Source organism: Homo sapiens, chromosome 6 (assembly GCF_000001405.40).
Source record: "Homo sapiens chromosome 6, GRCh38.p14 Primary Assembly".
Classification (NCBI taxonomy): domain Eukaryota; kingdom Metazoa; phylum Chordata; class Mammalia; order Primates; family Hominidae; genus Homo; species Homo sapiens.
The window spans coordinates 70,106,005-70,123,402 of NC_000006.12; the positions used below are offsets into that span (position 1 = coordinate 70,106,005).

Genomic DNA, 17,398 nt, shown 5'->3' on the forward strand with positions numbered 1-17,398 from the left:
AGGAGGCATGATTTTTTTATTTTTTTAATAACAGCATACTTTATAAGAAAATGTTCTTCCCTTTGGGGGTTTAAGATGTTTCTGAAATCAAACATAGTGTTGTTATTCGGGGGAGTGTCAGTGAAGACTTTAAAAATCTTGAATTGAAGGGACTCTAAGTCCCCAATGGCCTGAAGCAATTCAAATAAAGTGTTTTAACCAGTCCTTCTACTTGATTATTTGTTCTGAAGCCAAATTAGTATATTCTCAGTTTCTTACAAAATGTTTGTACCAAAAGGACAACTTGTTTACCAAAATAATTTCTGACAAATAGCTAAGTGTGTGCGTGTGTGTGTGTGTGTGTGTGTGTGTGTGTGTAAGAGGACAACGTTTTGTCCCCTGAGACATTATATCTCCTAGGGAAAAAAGATTTCTAATAATGGAAAATTTACTAACACTAGTTTTATTAAACTAACATTATTAAATTATCTTTGTGAATCAGTGTTTCATGGAAAGTCATGTATATCACTCCAATTTAGCTTAACTATTATTCAATAGCAACTTTTTGTGTCTTTAGGACTTATTTGAAATTTATACACATGCAATATGCATATAATGAAACTATTCTTAATCAGAGTGCTTGTCATTGAACAGTGACTAACCTGGTTAACAGAGCTAGCTACAATGTATTTTTGTAAAGTATTTGTCCAATTCCTTGTTAAAAACCAGAGCTGATCTTACCTATACAAAGGAAAAAGCTCCCAAAGTGTCCCATGTAACTTCTGCTATCTTGTCCTAAGCGAATATTCTTCATTGGAGGGAAACTATTACATAGAGATCTCTTGGATTTATTTCAATACATAAAGATTACGACTGAGAACAGTTTTTCAGTATGAGAGGGCTAAGCATCTCCCTCGGGAAGGAAATAGCACTAACTCCTGAGGAAACAGGTTCAGAGGAAAGAGGGATGAAGCAGACCAGGAGAATGTATTACCATCACGAGCTCTGCATTAAGTACTGTATTTCCAGTGTCTTAGGGAATCCTTACAACTATCTTGAAAAGTAGAAATTATCTTCATTTTATAATGGGGTAAATGATACTTGGAAATGTCAAGTAACTTACCCAAGATGACACAAGCAGTGAAGACAGAACTGAAACACAGGAACTGATCCCTAAACCTTTATTCTGCCAGACTTCAGGTGTGAAAGACAAGCTTCTAGTTTACAGTTCAACTAAGATTATTCTTCCTCAAACATCATACCTAGAACAATGTTTGAGTTTTCCGTTGCAATCAATGGCACTATCCTGACTCCAGACAGCGAGATGGTATAGGATAGCATAGGATGGCGGTGAGGAACTTAGTCCTTCTCCTCACTAGCTTGTCCTGGAACAATTTTCTTAATGTTTCCTTGTCTCCATTTTCTTTTCTGTAAATTTGAAATAATAGCACCTACCCCACCTACTTTTTCCCACAGTGGCTACAAGAGCCCAATGTCATTGATATGAAAGAACTTTCTTCTAAATGTAAAGCTCTATCTAAATGTATCTTAGTTCCACTGTTATTATTCTGAACACCCATTCACACTGTAGAGAGAAGAGATTGTCTTCAATCAGTAATTAAACCAACACTTCTTTTCTCTCTTTACAGTTCTCCAAAAATCTAGTTAACAGAAATTTGAATGTCTATCAATGAATTGCTGAAATAAAAGATCACTTTGCATATGTCACACTTATTCTAGATACGTCATGAAGAGATCCAAAAGTTATTCCCAATTAGGTAACAATAACAACCAGGTCTAAAGAGTCAGTGATGTTTTTTCTCCCGAGATTTACAGCCTCTTCCTTGCTTGTGGGGCTTGTTCCTTTACCATCTGAGCTGTTGCATTTTATTAGTTGTGATGTTCTCTAAGTCTCAACTGTCCTTCCTCACACTCCAATAAAAGCTTGTCTTTTTTAAAAACCTTCCAGTTATCTGAGTAGCATAAGCAGTGGAAAGTAATAGACTTATGTTATGATAATGAGACTTGGAAAGTCTCAAGACTTGGAATGCCTTTGTTTATTTCAAAGTATTCTGGTTTTCAGTTCCTTTAGAAAAGAGAGGAAAGCAGCTGGAAATGAGGCGGAGCAGGAGAGAAAGTAGGAGAATTTAACTAATGAGCCATTAAAGGAAGTAGGTATTAGCCCATCCATTTGACATTAACTTTACTTCTCATTCATCATTACTGGAAAAAGCGTTTATTAAAAACCACACTAATTTAAAATTGTGTTATTATTTCTTCTGCTACAGGCAAGACTTTTTATTTTCTTTCTTTTTTTCTTCTGGTATTGTTTTTATGCATTGTTTCATTATTGCAGTATGAGAATTGAGCAGTGGGCTCCATTTGTCACATTTGTGTGCATAGCAATTTCAGTTGAAAACAGAAATTCAAAAAATTTTGTAACATGGGGCAACAGCTCCATCTACTGTTTCCATAGGAAAAGCTCTAGTCAAAGAATGACAATAGCTCTTTGAAGGATGTCAGAGGAATGGAAATTTTTCGATGTTTGAAGCTTATAAATCCATATGATTTTTAAAAAATTATTTTCAGGATTTTGTTACATTTATGCTTACCTTGAAATTTAAATATAAGTGCTATTTCATCAGCAGTCATTTTCAATGTCAACTTGATGCTCTTTTGAGGTAAAAATCCATACCTACTTCATGGATCTCTAAAATGCCCTTCTATTGTACAATACCAATAAAACTCTGCAGCATTAATTTTTGGGAGCTTACTCCAACAAAACATATGCTTCTTTTCTAAAACAAGTCTGATTTGAAACATGTACATTCATGTTTCTATTTTAATTTTAACTTCAGTGTAGAACTTCTTCTACCTTTAAAGCATGAATCATTGCACAGTCCTGAAAGTTACAATTATACATCAGTTTGCACAATTAAAAGAGTAAATTTAGGGTGTAAAATTTAATTTATTTACTAAACAAATACTTATGGCCTATCTACTATGTGTTAATCACTATTACAAACATTGAATATACAGTGGTTAAAAACACAAAGCAACAACAAACTACAGATAAGGTCTCTACCTTTCTTTATAACTTACTGTCTGTGGTGAGGCAGTACACCAATGGTTAATAAGCAGTTAAATAAATAGACAAAACAATTTCGGTTTAGAGTGAGGTGCTATGGGGGGAATAAACTGGGTAATGTGATAATGATTTGGAAGGAGGAGATGTTCTTCTCATTACCATCTAATTGAGGTGGTCCAGGGAGGTGTCTCTGAGCAGAAGACATTCCTTGAGAAGGAGCTGGCCATGTAAGGGCCAGAGCAAGAACTTTCCAAACAGAAATATCAGGACTTGCAAAGAGCTTCAGGTGGGGAAAAGCTTGATGTATTCAATAAACATAAAGGAGCTAAGAAAAGAATAGTGCCAGAAAAGATTTGGGAGCTGAATGGCTTCATCATATAGGGCCTTATAAGAATGGAAAAGAAGGGTTGGGGGGCAAGTGGAGAGATACACGTAGCCATGAAATAACCAGTTACATCTCCGTTTTGTAAGTGTGTGTGTGTGTGTGTGTGTGTGTGTGTGTGTGTGTGTGTATCTGCAGCGGTTTGATTTTTTTATGTGATGAAATTACTGTTCCTACTGATTCAAATAAATTATTCTGAAGGTAATATTGTTTTTAGCCCATTATCTTTAGTCTTTGAGTGGACGGGGAATAGGCTTGTTTGCTGAAAGAAAACAAAATTGACAAAGGTTTGATTGTAGCCCATTTAATTTCAGTCTTGTCTGAATCCACTGGATATCACTTTGGTCATTAGAGATGGAGAATTTCATCACATCTAAGTCTTTTCTTTTTCCCCACAGCTAAATCTGATGTTTCCTTTCTGATAGGCTATAGGTTGAGTCAGTTGAACAGTTGGGGCAATGAAAATACATACCCTCAAAACGCCATAGAACTAAGTGCCTTCCGGCACTTGTGCCCCCTTATCCATCGCTGTTCTCAACTTGAGTATCTTCCGTCTCCAACTTTATTTACTATGCACTGAAAACTGAAAGGAAAGTTATTATTTTCAGCATATAGCAGGACCCACCTCTAAAACAATTTAGTGTCCCAAAACACATTTTTGGACTGCTGAATAAAGCAGATGACAAAAACTGTCTCAGTGAAACATTTGATCACTTGTTAAAATACCCTCAGAATACCTTGAATGTGACTACATGCATTTTGAAGCTCATCATGTATCAATGGGAATCCAATTCAAATTCTTAACATCCCTTCTAGAAGCTTGAACTGATCAGGGCTTAGTCATGTTGCTCAGTTTTCCTTTCAGCAAGAGAACCACAATCTCTTCTGTTAAATGACTAAAGTCTGTGCAATGTAATATCTTCAGAGAAAATGAACCTAACAATTTATTTGAGTCAATGGGAATAGGAATTTCATTTCTTAAAAAAAAGTAAGATGACACTTTCTCAGATTTAAAAATATAGACACATAAGACCTATAAAATGGAGACATGGCTAGTTAATCATGTTTATTGCCACTTGTCCCTCATGGGGGTAATGGTCCCAGACAAAACAGCTGTTCCCAACATTGCTAAAATTCCAGTGTCACCTTGTGTGACCACAGAATACATAGACATGCATGTGAGGCAGCTGGGGATATCAGGTTGAGATTTTGAAAACTGGCTCTCAGGTTTTATTTTCTAATTATTTCTCTTTTTCTCTCCCTACGGACAGCAGCAGTAGGACATTATTAGTCACTTTCTGACTTCCTGTGTTTTTTACTAATAGTGGTAACATTATGGTGGAAAAAATATTATATTTGTACAGCCACTGACTGCTTGTTTCATCTTGTATTATGTTCTTGAAACCAACTATTAAGACATCTGGACTGACATGTGTTATTTACAGCAACGATGAGACAGACTATTTGAAATCCTTGATCTGTGGTCACCAAACTTGTAATTAGTTGTGATGGTGCCTGGATTCAACATCATTTCTTTGTGTTGGGTAAACATTAAGATTTGAGAAGTCAAAGGCCAGTCAGATTTATTAGAACCTTAATTTTCAGAACGGGATATTTGTTTCCTAAATAATCTTATAGTTTGCATTTGATGATATAGTTTCCAAGAGGATCTCCATACTGTATGTAATTTTACTGCTGTATATCTTTGTGAGGTAGGCAAGAAAAGATTATTTTCATTTAATAAGAATATTCTAGGTCCTGATGAATAAGGAGCTCAGCTCAATTTTTGCAGTCAGTTTTCTCTGCACATCAGTAACTATAGCTTAGTATGATCAAAGTAAAGACTGAAGGAAATTATATAACTAGAGAAGCAACAAGTTTTCAGCATTGTCTAGGGGACCTAAAACATGGAAGAAAAGTTGGCAGAAAATAAGATTTGAAGGGTCTTCAGCTATGTCTGTAATGAATTCATTAAAAAGTAGAAAGACCCAAAGCAAATATCGCAAAATTGTTAATATTTGACAACATAGGATTTTGGACTCATTGCAATTTATATTATTTTCTGTACTTTTCAGCATGCTTAGAATAGTTCAAATTCATTTTAAGAAGCAGGAAAAACATTCTATGGGATTAGTAACAGTTAATATCACTGATTACTTCTTCACTGGCTGATATCATCAGTATCTTCTCCTTTGACTGAAATCCTTTGTGGAATGGGGCCACGTGTTTTAAAACTAAAATTATTAACTATTTTTTAGAACTTTCCTGAGCACACTGTCTATAACCATGGTGTTCAGCTGAGCCAAGAATTGTCATTTGTAGATTTATCATTAGCACAACCTATAGATAAGGGAGAGACCTTAACATCACACATTTGAGTTGAAAGTGAGGACCACAATCACCCAATTATTCCAGAGCTGCCCAGAATGTCCCCAGCTATTCAAATTGTGCACATGCTCTTGGCCTCTATGTAACTTGGCAGTGTATAAGCTAGTGCCACCAGCCTGGTTATCTTAAGTCCCAGCAGTGTGCCTTGAAACTTGCATTTTCTTAACTCAGGAAGAGTTGTCATTCTACCAACACTTTTAAAGAGAATGAATGTTATCACCTAATTACAGTAAATGGAAACTCAAAGCATTCATAGGTGTGGGCTGCCTGTGGGGTCCATGTAAGCCATCTTTCCTCCAGATTTTGGTGGCATATTGAAAAATTCCTGAGGTCAAACAAGGGGATGGAGGCACAGTTGTTCCTAAGGTATGGTTTTTGTTGGTGGTGATCTTTTGAGGACACCACTGGATACAAATAATTTGTTTCACACATTCCCCTCCTTGCTAGTTTTCATGCCCCTGTGGCTTTTATCACCTTGTACTGGGTCATTGATGTTGCATCTGTGGGTGGCAAGGCACTCTAAAGATTCCTGCTGCTCCTTATATTGCAGGACACTGACAAATAATATTTTTCCTTTTTCAGGACATACTGGGGAGAGATGAGTATGAAACATTTTATGGATGGATAAGCAGAATAGCAGCATTAGGGGAGGAATCTTTTTTTTTCTAACTATCATGCCATGGAGATCAGTCAAAATGTCCCACTCTATCAATAAGGCAGTGGGCTTTACACCAATTAGGTTGATATCTGGGGAAATAAGTACCTTTAAATATATTTTTTTCTGCCTTAGAAAACAAAGTGTTAAAAAATCTACAAGCTTCCTAGCATAATTTAGAAAATCTGCTTTTATGAAATGGGTTAATTATGCCCATTGAATGCATTCACTGTCACAGTCTCATCCTCCCACTTCTGTTCCAAAATGACAAGTGAAACCAGGGACTGTGCAATTTTGGAAGACAATCAGATCACATATTGAGTATTTTGCTTATTCATACAACCATAAACGGCCTATGCTTGAGTTCCCTCAATTACACAGCTCAGTATGCAGGCCAGAAGCAGACAAGCCCAGCTCAAGTGAACACTTTCCTGGAATACACGGGGGAACGAGTTTGAAAAATGTCCAAAGTGGCAGATGTGAAAAATTCTCATTCAACATCCAGAGCTGCCTTTGCTGCAATCCTTCACCTGTTAATCGCACTGCCTCTGAACTTGTGAACCAGGGATGCTAGCGATATCTTAGACTGAGACACTTAGGAGCTATAGATCTTTCAAGGTATGGTGCCAGTATATGCCAAGGTGGGGGAAAAGCTAGCGAGACAAGACAAGATCATGGATCACAGCACTGCTCAGAATTTTCAGACATTCACCAAGAATAAGCATGTCGCTGCCAGCTTCCAACTAAACTGTTATTATCTTTTGTAGGGGAAATTCCCAAAAGATGTCCTTGATAAATGCTTAAACCATTGTACTGTATCACTTAAATTCTTCAGACTCCTGCAATGCTAATACACAATCTCTCCTCCACAACAGAATACAATGGCACTATTGTAGTCTTAAGTGAAGGATATTTCATTTTCCCTGAGTGAGACAACTTTCCCACAACTGTTATCCACTGCAATTTCATGCTCCTTGGAGTTTCTGTGCACCAAAATCATCCCCAAGCAATATACTCTCTTGATTAGCTAGTATTTTATTCCACCTCCTTTGACTATATTTATTTTTTCTTTTCTTCCACCATCTTATAAGCGCGAAGGCTCCTTGCCCTTCATTTGGCATTATTGAAACCTCAAAAGTTATTTAAGATGCTGGTTGAGATTGTTAACTTCCTTCCTTTTCCATCTCAGCCTAACTCTGATCTTTCTTTCTCCTGCTCTCTTTCTAGTAGAAGCCCTCCATGATTTTGAACTTCCTTGTGTCTCTGTGTTGTTCCTCTCTCTTATCCTTACCCCTCTCCCATTCTGGTCACTTTCCTCTTGACTCTTCTTGTCATCCAAGTCTTTCTTTTTTTTTTTTTTTTTTTTTTTTTGGAGATGGAGTCTTGCTCTGTCACTCAGGCTGGAGTGTAGTGGCGTGATCTCAGCTAACTGCAACCTCTGCCTTCTGGGTTCAAGCAATTCTCCTGCCTCAGCTTCCCAAGTAGCTGGGACTACAGGTGCACGCTAACATGCCCTGCTAATTTTTTGTATTTTAGTAGAGACAGAGTTTCACCATGTTGCCCAAGCTGGTCTCGAACTCCTGAGCTCAAGCAATCTGCCCGTCTTGGCCTCCCAAAGTGCTAGCATTGTGGGTGTTAGCCACTGTGCCCAGCCCTTTCAAAAGGCATGTCTACACCAAGTCTCAGACCATTCTTTTCTTGGCCCTTAGTGATTGTATACCTCATTAATCCTGTGATCTTTCACCACACGATGCCCTGCTCGATTGTTTAAAAACCAGCTTTAAGATGATTGGTATTTTATTTTCCCATCATCCTTCTCACTGTGAGGTGGTTTAGGGGAAAGAGTTAAAAGATCAAGGCAGTGGGGTCAGACAGACCTGAGTTGAAACCTAGCTCTTGTCTACTATTTATATGACCTTGAGTCAGATATTTAGTCTTTTGTTATGTGTAAAATAAGGAAACACCACCTCACTGGGCTGCTGTAAGAGCTAAATGCAATAATGCATGTACCTCACACAGTTGTCACTTTCAAAGGGTAACTATTGTTATTTATTAATATTTTTGTTATCATTATCCTCATTTAATCATTATTTGCCATCTTCTCATTATTTTTGTCTTTCTTTCCCAGGATTTAGGAACTGACATTTCCAAAGCAAAAGGGTTGATATTTTTTCTCTTTTATTATCACCTGCATGTAAATTTTTCTTCTATCTGCTTGGCTCCCCTCCTTCCTATTTTCCTCTGTTAAAGTCTTTATAGAGAAACTTCATCCATCTAAGAATGTTGGCCTAAATATATGCATATACATATTCATCATCTGGAAAAACTCATTAGATTCTATTTTCAATGTGAACAAACACACTTGAAAACATCTCTTTTAAATTGAGAGCATTTAAGTTTCATAACTGTATTCTTTTGTATTGACCAATGAATGAAACAGGTCCATCAGATTAGCACTGAAACATGAATTTTCCCTGAGCTTATTTCCATTTGAGTCCCCACCACTTACAATCCAAGTTAACCTGAAGACTTGGCTCACAAGTCATTTCTCAAAGCCTCTTTCCAGAAAGTGAAAGCCCTCAGCCTAACGGTGGTGGAGGCAGAGATGCAGTCTGCAGAGTCCTCAGCCTCCCTTTCCTACTTGGTACTGTCTTCTCCTGTCCTTAGCCCCCAAGGGCCATCCCTTTATTCTTCTCCTTTCCTGTCCTACCCGCCTTGCTCTTGGGAAATATGTAATGAACAATTCACATGAATCTATTAGAATGGAATGATTTTGGACTTGGTTCTACCATTCATGTGGTTTGGGGAAAAATCTCTTGGTTTTCCCATCTGTTAAATGGAAAATATAATACTACCCACTTCAGTTGGTTATTATAAGAATCAAATAAGATAATGCATTTTACAGTCACATTACCCTACCACCCAAGAAAATATAAGTGAAAATACTTTTAGAATTATCCAGAGCTGTGAAAACATGAACCTTTAGTATTATATCTCCCAGGAACATTTGCATTTGATCTGGCAGTAAAACCTAACATCAAAAAAAATAAGACTTTTGTTAGGACATTTTGGGCATAACCTGGAGAGCAGGCAAGATATTTGAAGGAAAAAGACCTCCTCCCAGGAACCTTTAAATTTCACCTATATGTGGCCCATGTTCTCTAGGGTGACCCATTTAATCCCAAGTATGAGAGCTTGAGGTCTCTATATTGAAATGTAAGAATAATATAAATACTCACTGAATCTGCTCTTGGCTTTAGGAATCACATTTTATAGTTCAAGAGTTTCTAGCAGTTGTTGTTTTTTTTGTTTTGTTTTTTGGTGTTTTGTTTTTTTTTTTTTTTTTGGTGGGGAGAAGGTGTTGGTATCCCTTTAGTCACTAAAAATTCTCAACAGAAGCATTCTCAGAAAAAAAATCCATTACAATTATAACTGCTTAATTTATGTAATTAAACCCCAAGAGACACTGAAAAAAATTTCATTTTGAGTAAATATTAAGACAGAGAAAAGGATGTGTGTCTTTTTTAAAAAAAGAAATTGAGTCCCCCAATATTTTCTATCTAAAGAACATTATTGATTTTTTCCCCCAGAATTACTTTACAACTTATATGTTGTAATTCTGGTCCAAAAATCCATCCATGAGCTCTTTTCTACTTAACTGGAGCTCACTATAACTATGCTTTCAATTAACTAGCCACATTCTTAGGTTAATCTAAATCTGTTGGTCTTGTCTTTTATAAATTTGGAAGAAGCAAGCCCTTTGCTCTGTTTGATACCATTTCTAACTAAAACCAAAACCAACAAACAAAAAAATGGCTTTCTCCACAGACTTTTTCTTATAAAAGCAATGATTCTACCGAATTCAACAAACATTGGGTGCTGGTGATGGGAGACAGATACTGCAGACTGTAGTGTGCTGAGTTTAAAAGGATCAAAACTCCTTGCCCTCACAAAGTTTTTGTTGCAACTGGGAATACAAACATGTACATAAGCCACTATACTCAATGTAAATGTGCTTTACTAAGTTATGTATAATGTGTTATAGATGGAAACATAAATGAGAGAAAAACTCATTTGACATTACCTTTTCCAACCATTATTATTTTTTCATCTCACCATTCCTATGTCTGAATTTAGGCTTCCTAATGACTGTTTTTTTTTCTTGAATACAAAGGGAAAAATAATTACTGATCTCTACTTTTTTACAAGCCATTAGAACACTGGAAATGTTTCTTGAAAATTAGTCCAAAGGACTTTCCAACAAGCATTCTATCTGTTCTTACAGAAAAGCGATTTTTTAGCACTTTTGAAGAGAGTTGGTTAGTACAACTTCCTTCACAGAGGTTTTTGGTATTTCAAAGATTGTTCTTGAATTTAACTGAAAACCCACAGGGCCAAAAGCAGCTGTGTGTAACCTGAAAACATGTAATTTTGAATCCAGAAAAAAGCTTCCAATAGGAGATTGAAGAGCTATGGTGCATAAGTGGCATCTGGATGGCTCAAGGAGACTCAGTCAACAGAGATGAAGAGGTACAGGGTACTTTTAGAGAAAAGGGAGAAAGGAAAATAGTTCAAGATTGAGGATCAGAGAGTGAGCAGGCGATTTGACTAAGGAGCCACAGAGCTCCTGATTCACAATGTGCAGAGTGTGCTAAAGCTGGATCAGAAGGCTCAAGCTCTGACTTGCACAGACAGCTTATGGCAAAGAACAGTCAGGGAAAAAAAGGCAAAAATATTGCTCTTTAGGCTAAGTATACCGGGTGAATTGGCTAAAAAGTGAAAATGCAGCTAAGACTAGGACTAAGGACTATGGTTTTTAACAGAGAACTCTTCCCAACTTTTAAACTTTGGGAATGTGCAGCCAAAACTGAAATCTACTAAGGGAATGATAATGCAAATAGCTCATCATTTTTACACTACGTGTCTGACAAGTCCGGTGGCAGACATCATGGTATTTCTGTTTTCCACCTCCAGCAAGATTTAAGCCAAAAACTATTTAAAAGCTGCTAGAACTATTGCTGAGAGTATATACTTCCCAAATTGAATATAGCTTTAATTCACTTTATCACACCTGCTGTAGTTCTTTGCAGTAAGAAACGACATCAGGATCTCTATCCACACCAGGTTTATAGGCCTCTCAGATAATTATGAATCAGTACAGTTAGGTTCAGAACAGTTGTTTCTCCCTGGAGTTCATTAGCATATTTTAGCTGCTCTGTAATTGTATACTCACCACATTAATCCAGATGTCCTATATCTCCCAATCCCATACAAATAGAGTGAAGCAAATCTCCGTAAAAAACAGACATTGTATAGGCATGACTTGTGTACAATCATGTTGTGGGTCACTGTTATAAGCAAGATATTGGGACATTTTTCCTTTCCATAAACCTTTAACCACTTTTCCTAGCAGAGCTCCTAAGAGCATAAGCCAAGGCTGACATGCCCTCTGCAGTTGGCCTCTCTTCACCACTGGACCTGGGTCATCTAAGTGTCTTTTGATGGGTCCTTGTAAATGCAAACCTCAGAGAAAGGGTTCTGTCAACTGCCCTAGAGCATCTACACCACCATGTGATGCCGAGAGATCTGTCACTTACCACAAGTCTTTAACTTCTTTCTTGGAGTTGATTGGTAGTCTGCAGGATAGACAACTCTTGCTAAACTTGGCGACAACTCCTTGGATCTTCTCCAGCCATATTTCATACCAGAATAGAAGATAGAAAAATAGCACATCTCTTGGGATGTGGCTGGTAGGATAGCCACCAATTCTGAAACCCCAAGGTTGTGTTCCAACTGTAAACAGAGTTGCTTTTGCAATTTAAATGCTTATAGCTTATTAATGACCACTATCTTTGACAGTGTTAGAGCAACCAAGTGAGACACTGCCTCACTGACTATAGTCAGAGTAGAGGGGGACTTCCAGAAGACTCTAATTGGCATCTCTTTCTAGTCTCTGAAGGGTTCCTTCGGACCGCTAGGAGAGTTTGTATAAAGTATTGCCTGCAGGGTAGACGGTTGGCTGTAAATTTCTGTCACATTAAACTTGCAATTTGTGGTACCCAAACTATCCCAGTGACTAAAAAAGTGAGAAAGAAAATGTCATCATAAATACTCATGATGAGATTAAGTGGTAGAACCTAAAACTTCAGATCAAACCCATTTCGAGTACTACTTTGAAGATAAGACATTTTGTGACAAAAGCAGAACATATGAAAATGTAGAAGTAATTTTTATGGGTTTATTAATCTTGTGGATATTTGAATAATAACGTTCAACCTTTTCTGTAGCCTCATTGCTCTTGGCATTGTTTTTAGTGAGTTGTGCCCTTGCCTTTGTTTTTAGAGGGAGCAGCTGCACTGAGCCGTGCATATTCTCCCACCCCACCCCCAGTGGTAAGCTCAGCAGCAGCCAGATCAGGATCCTGCATGAGAAGTATATACTTTGCTTATGAAATACAGCTATCTTCTGTGTGCATATGACCAGTCTGTAAAGGATCATATCCCATTTCACCCAATTTTTTACAAATCATTATCATTCTATTGTTTTTTACTGTTCTCACTTACACTGCTACCTGTTTTATTCTGTGCAAACCCTACAACACATTTGCTTTCTTGCTTCTTTTCCTTACTGCCTCCCAGAACCCTTTGGGAGGCTTCACACTTCTTGTATCTCAGACCACCTGCTCTCCCAACCTCTACAAACAAAGATAGGATACATTTGAATACAGTCACAGACTAGGAGAAATGTTTTGTAATATTCAGGGATAATCTCCCTAACATGGGTTAAGAGACTGTATGAACATAGATGGGAGATACAAGGAGTAGATAAAGAGGCCTCTCTCAACTACACGGTATGACTACAGCTAAAGGTAATGTGTTCACTTTCCCGCCTCCTGCACCAAGCACTGTGAAGTACCTGGCAGAAGTGCTACGTAGAAGTTTTGTTGATTTTTTTTCAATTTCAGTAAAGTAAATAGAACATAGAAGAGTGATCACCCAGTATTCTCTAGGGTACACACATCATCATGATAAGAAAATTACTGCAAAAGTGATTTTTGGCTGAGTTTGCCTTTAAGTTAAGATAGTAGAGTAGACGAGAACTGGCTTTGGGCCCAATGCTAATGTTAAATATTAGCCCTGCCACTTACCAGTGGTGTGACCTTGGACCAGTTAAACATTTCCAACCCTCATTTTCTTTATCTTTGAATCAGAGAGAATGATGGGACATTCCTCCTGTCATTGTAAGGACTAAATTAGTTAATTCCTGCTGTAATGCCTAGCACATAATAAGCACTATATAAATGTTTGCTATTGGCCGGGCCCGCTGGCTCACGCCTGTAATACCAGCACTTTGGGAAGCCAAGGCAGGTGGATCACTTGAGGTCAGGAGTTCAAGACCAGCCTGGCCAACATGGCGAAACCCTACCTCTACTAAAAATACAAAAATTAGCCAGGCATGGTGGCACATGCCTGTAGTCCCAGCTACTCAGGAGACTAAGGCACAAGAATCCCTTGAACCTGGGAGGCAGAGGTTGCAGTGAGCTGAGATCGTGCCACTGCACTCCAGCCTGGGTGACAGAGTGAGACTCTGTCTCAAAAAACAACAACAAAAAGAGTTTGCTATTATTATTTGACTGATTCTGCTACTCTATTTGGGAGACTGTATTATTAATTTTTATGCTATATTTAAGAGTTCTAATAATTAAGACCCTCTCTTTTAACTAGATTGAATATGTATGAAGTTAAATTTACCTACTTCATCACTGTTCTTTGATCTAATCAGCCTTGTCATCAACACACACTCACTGAATGCCTACTATACATATACCCCTAAGCCACCTCTTAATGCTACTACATATGGTGTCTAAAATTCCTCCTTGCCTCATTATATGTTTGCAGAAGGATCAACATGTATGGAACTTCATGTCTCCTGACTTTCAAGAATAAGATCTTAACTTGCATGTTCTTGGCTAGATACTTTGTGTAACAACCCCCCCACTCAATGATTGCTTTCTTTCTTTACTTCCTCTAACTGACCTAGAATTCTTTACACAATGCTGGCTGCTGAAAAGTTGCATGAAAAATATATAATGCCATAAGAATTCTCTTCTTACAATAGCTCCGTTATTGTTTCAGCATGGTAACAGCATCGTTTGTCTTTCCAATCATAGGCAACACCATTACTTGTGAGGCCCATTATTTTCTCAAGAATTATACCAGCCTGCTTCTAAGTATCCATCACCTCATTCTTGTGCCCTTTATGTTTAGTGGCACAATGCAAAGGTTTTATATTAGAAGAGATCTTCAGTCACAAGCTGCTCATAAGAAACACCTGGTGTAAATGTTAACCAACATTAATCTTTTCTGTATACCTAAGGTGTTACCTGCATCAGTGAGTGCAGCTAACGATTGCTTCTTAAAATTTTTCTCCACTTTTCAAAGCTTTCATTCCCTTTGAAAAATATTAATCTTTGTATAATGGTGCTGTTTGATTTTGGCTAATCATCTTCCTTCTGTGTCTTATCTTATAAGGTAACATGTTAAGAACTTGGTCTCTATAATATTTTCTCTCCTCCTAGCTTTTGAGTTCTGGATGAAATGTGCAATCTCTTTTCTGAGATAGTTGAACCTATTTGACTTGAATTACTTAATCTAAAATAATGCTAATCTTTGTGTTTTTTTATGGCCCTCACCCCAAAATGTAATCCCTGAAAAACCTGGAAAAGTCTTCTTTCCTTTCTTCCTAGAAGCTTTAGGGACAGCCAAATGTATTTGCTTCTTTCCTATCCACTCCAAGCCCAGCATAGTGCTTACTGAATTATTTCCAGGTCAACTGAAAACTATCAATATTTAAATTTCTTAAGCCTGAGATTTTATAGCACACATCTTTTTTCTGGCCCAAAAGTCCATGTGCATCCCATTTTCTTACAACTAATTCAAAAAAGTAAAGCAATAGAAAAACATTTTTTCCCAATTTACTAAGTTAATAACATGTGGGAACACACAGTTCTATAGTACATTGATCAAAATCCTGTGAGAAGTGCCAAAAATAAACTGAAGAGTTATACCCTCTTCTCTGGGAGGGTCTTATGGGTATAATTCCTTTCAATAAAGAATATGCTGAGGGCTGACCTTCTGGTAAAATGTTACATGCTCCCACTTAGGACCTCTTTTTGGATTCATGCAGGATTTAACCTAGAAATATCTTAGGAACCTGATGATAAGTTAATGCCCGTGTATTTCTCTATTAATCAGAATATTTGACTAAATAGACAAGTCCTTTTTCTTCACTATATGATTTCAAGAGTTCTTAGATATGTTATTTAAATATTCATTGTTTTGGTAAATGTGTATATATTTGTCTTTGATTTGTTTATAATACAGGGACCTCCTGGAATACAAGGAATACACCAAACTCTTGGTGGATATTATAACAAGGATAACAAGGTATGGCTTCTTTTTTCCCATAATTTATAATACATAGAAATTTTATATGATTGTATTTTTGAAAAAAAACTTATTAATTCCTAACTTCTCAGACTTTTATACATGATCACATGTATTTAAACATCTTTCCATACTGAAAGCTATGTTTTCAAAAACAAAAATAAAAAAAGTATTCTGTTCAGTATCTTACAAATCTAGGGTTTTATCCTAATAAGTTTTTTAAAAATTTTGTTCAAAGATTGTTAATGCAAAACATTGTGTTCCACCATCAATAATATCATAGATCTAGCCTCTCTGAGGGCAGAAAGAAATTATTTGATACTTTGAAGCTCTGGGTAGCACAACAGGTGATAGACTTCTTATCAAAACCAATAGGTGTTGCGCCAAAATCTCAAGCAAATATTTGCATACTACAGTTCAAGAATGAGAGTCCCCACCTTTCATGGGGAATTACATTCAATTTCCCCACGGTTTTTTTTAAATCACATTTGGGATAGGCGGAATGCTGACGTGGAAGTATCCAAATGGCAAAAGCAAGGGAGTTTTGTTCCAGATTCTACAAGGAGCATAATAGAGTGGCAGCCAAGAGAAGATCTAGGTGAGATCATTGATTGATTCATCATTCAATGACAAATATTTGGGGTCTGATCACTTTGTGTGAGGCATTCTGTCCACTGATTAGGATACCTTGTATACATAATGGTTCATCATTGATTTCTTGCACCACAGAAAGAATTGGAGACACTTCCCTTTATGTCTTTCTTTTCCATGTTCTTACTTTCCCTTCCTGTAATTTTTTCTGACAGCTGTTACTCCTCTTTGTTTAGAAATCCCAAAGAGAAGTGTCAAAAAAATTTGTTAAATGACTAGCTAATTATAAAATCCCAGTTTCTCTCTCTTCAGAACAAGGTCAACATAAAGACTTAGATAATTTATGGTTGACAAATTTAAAATCAAATATGGAAAGTTTTTTATACTTTATAAATTTGATAGTGATGCTATTTTAAATTATCTCCTTTATTTAGGTTTTCCAGGGAGTATTATATTAGGAAGAATGTTTGGGATATATTTCATGTTTCCTTATTAAACACTTCTTTAATTTCTCAACCTACTCATCTGACAAAGGGCTAATATCCAGAATCTACAATGAACTCAAACAAATTTATAAGAAAAAAACAAACAACCCCATCAAAAAGTGGGTGAAGGACATGAACAGACACTTCTCAAAAGAAGACATTTATGCAGCCAAAAAACATATGAAAAAATGCTCACCATCACTGGCCATCAGAGAAATGCAAATCAAAACCACAGTGAGATACCATCTCACACCAGTTAGAATGGCAATCATTAAAAAGTCAGGAAACAACAGGTGCTAGAGAGGATGTGGAGAAATAGGAACACTTTTACATTGTTGGTGGGACTGTAAACTAGTTCAACCATTGTGGAAGTCAGTGTGGCGA

The 17,398-nt window shown here is 37.0% G+C and overlaps 1 protein-coding gene across 8 annotated transcripts in view; it reads left to right on the forward strand.

Annotated features, from left to right (window-relative positions):
* The window catches only part of COL19A1 (collagen type XIX alpha 1 chain), a 345,913-nt gene that overhangs the window by 239,449 nt on the left and 89,066 nt on the right, over positions 1-17,398 (forward strand). For all 8 annotated transcript variants that reach the window (NM_001858.6, XM_047418188.1, XM_011535437.3 and 5 more), the window contains one exon: positions 15,876-15,938. In NM_001858.6, coding sequence (NP_001849.2) covers positions 15,876-15,938 — 63 coding nt within the window. The remainder of the gene's footprint in view (positions 1-15,875; positions 15,939-17,398) is intronic.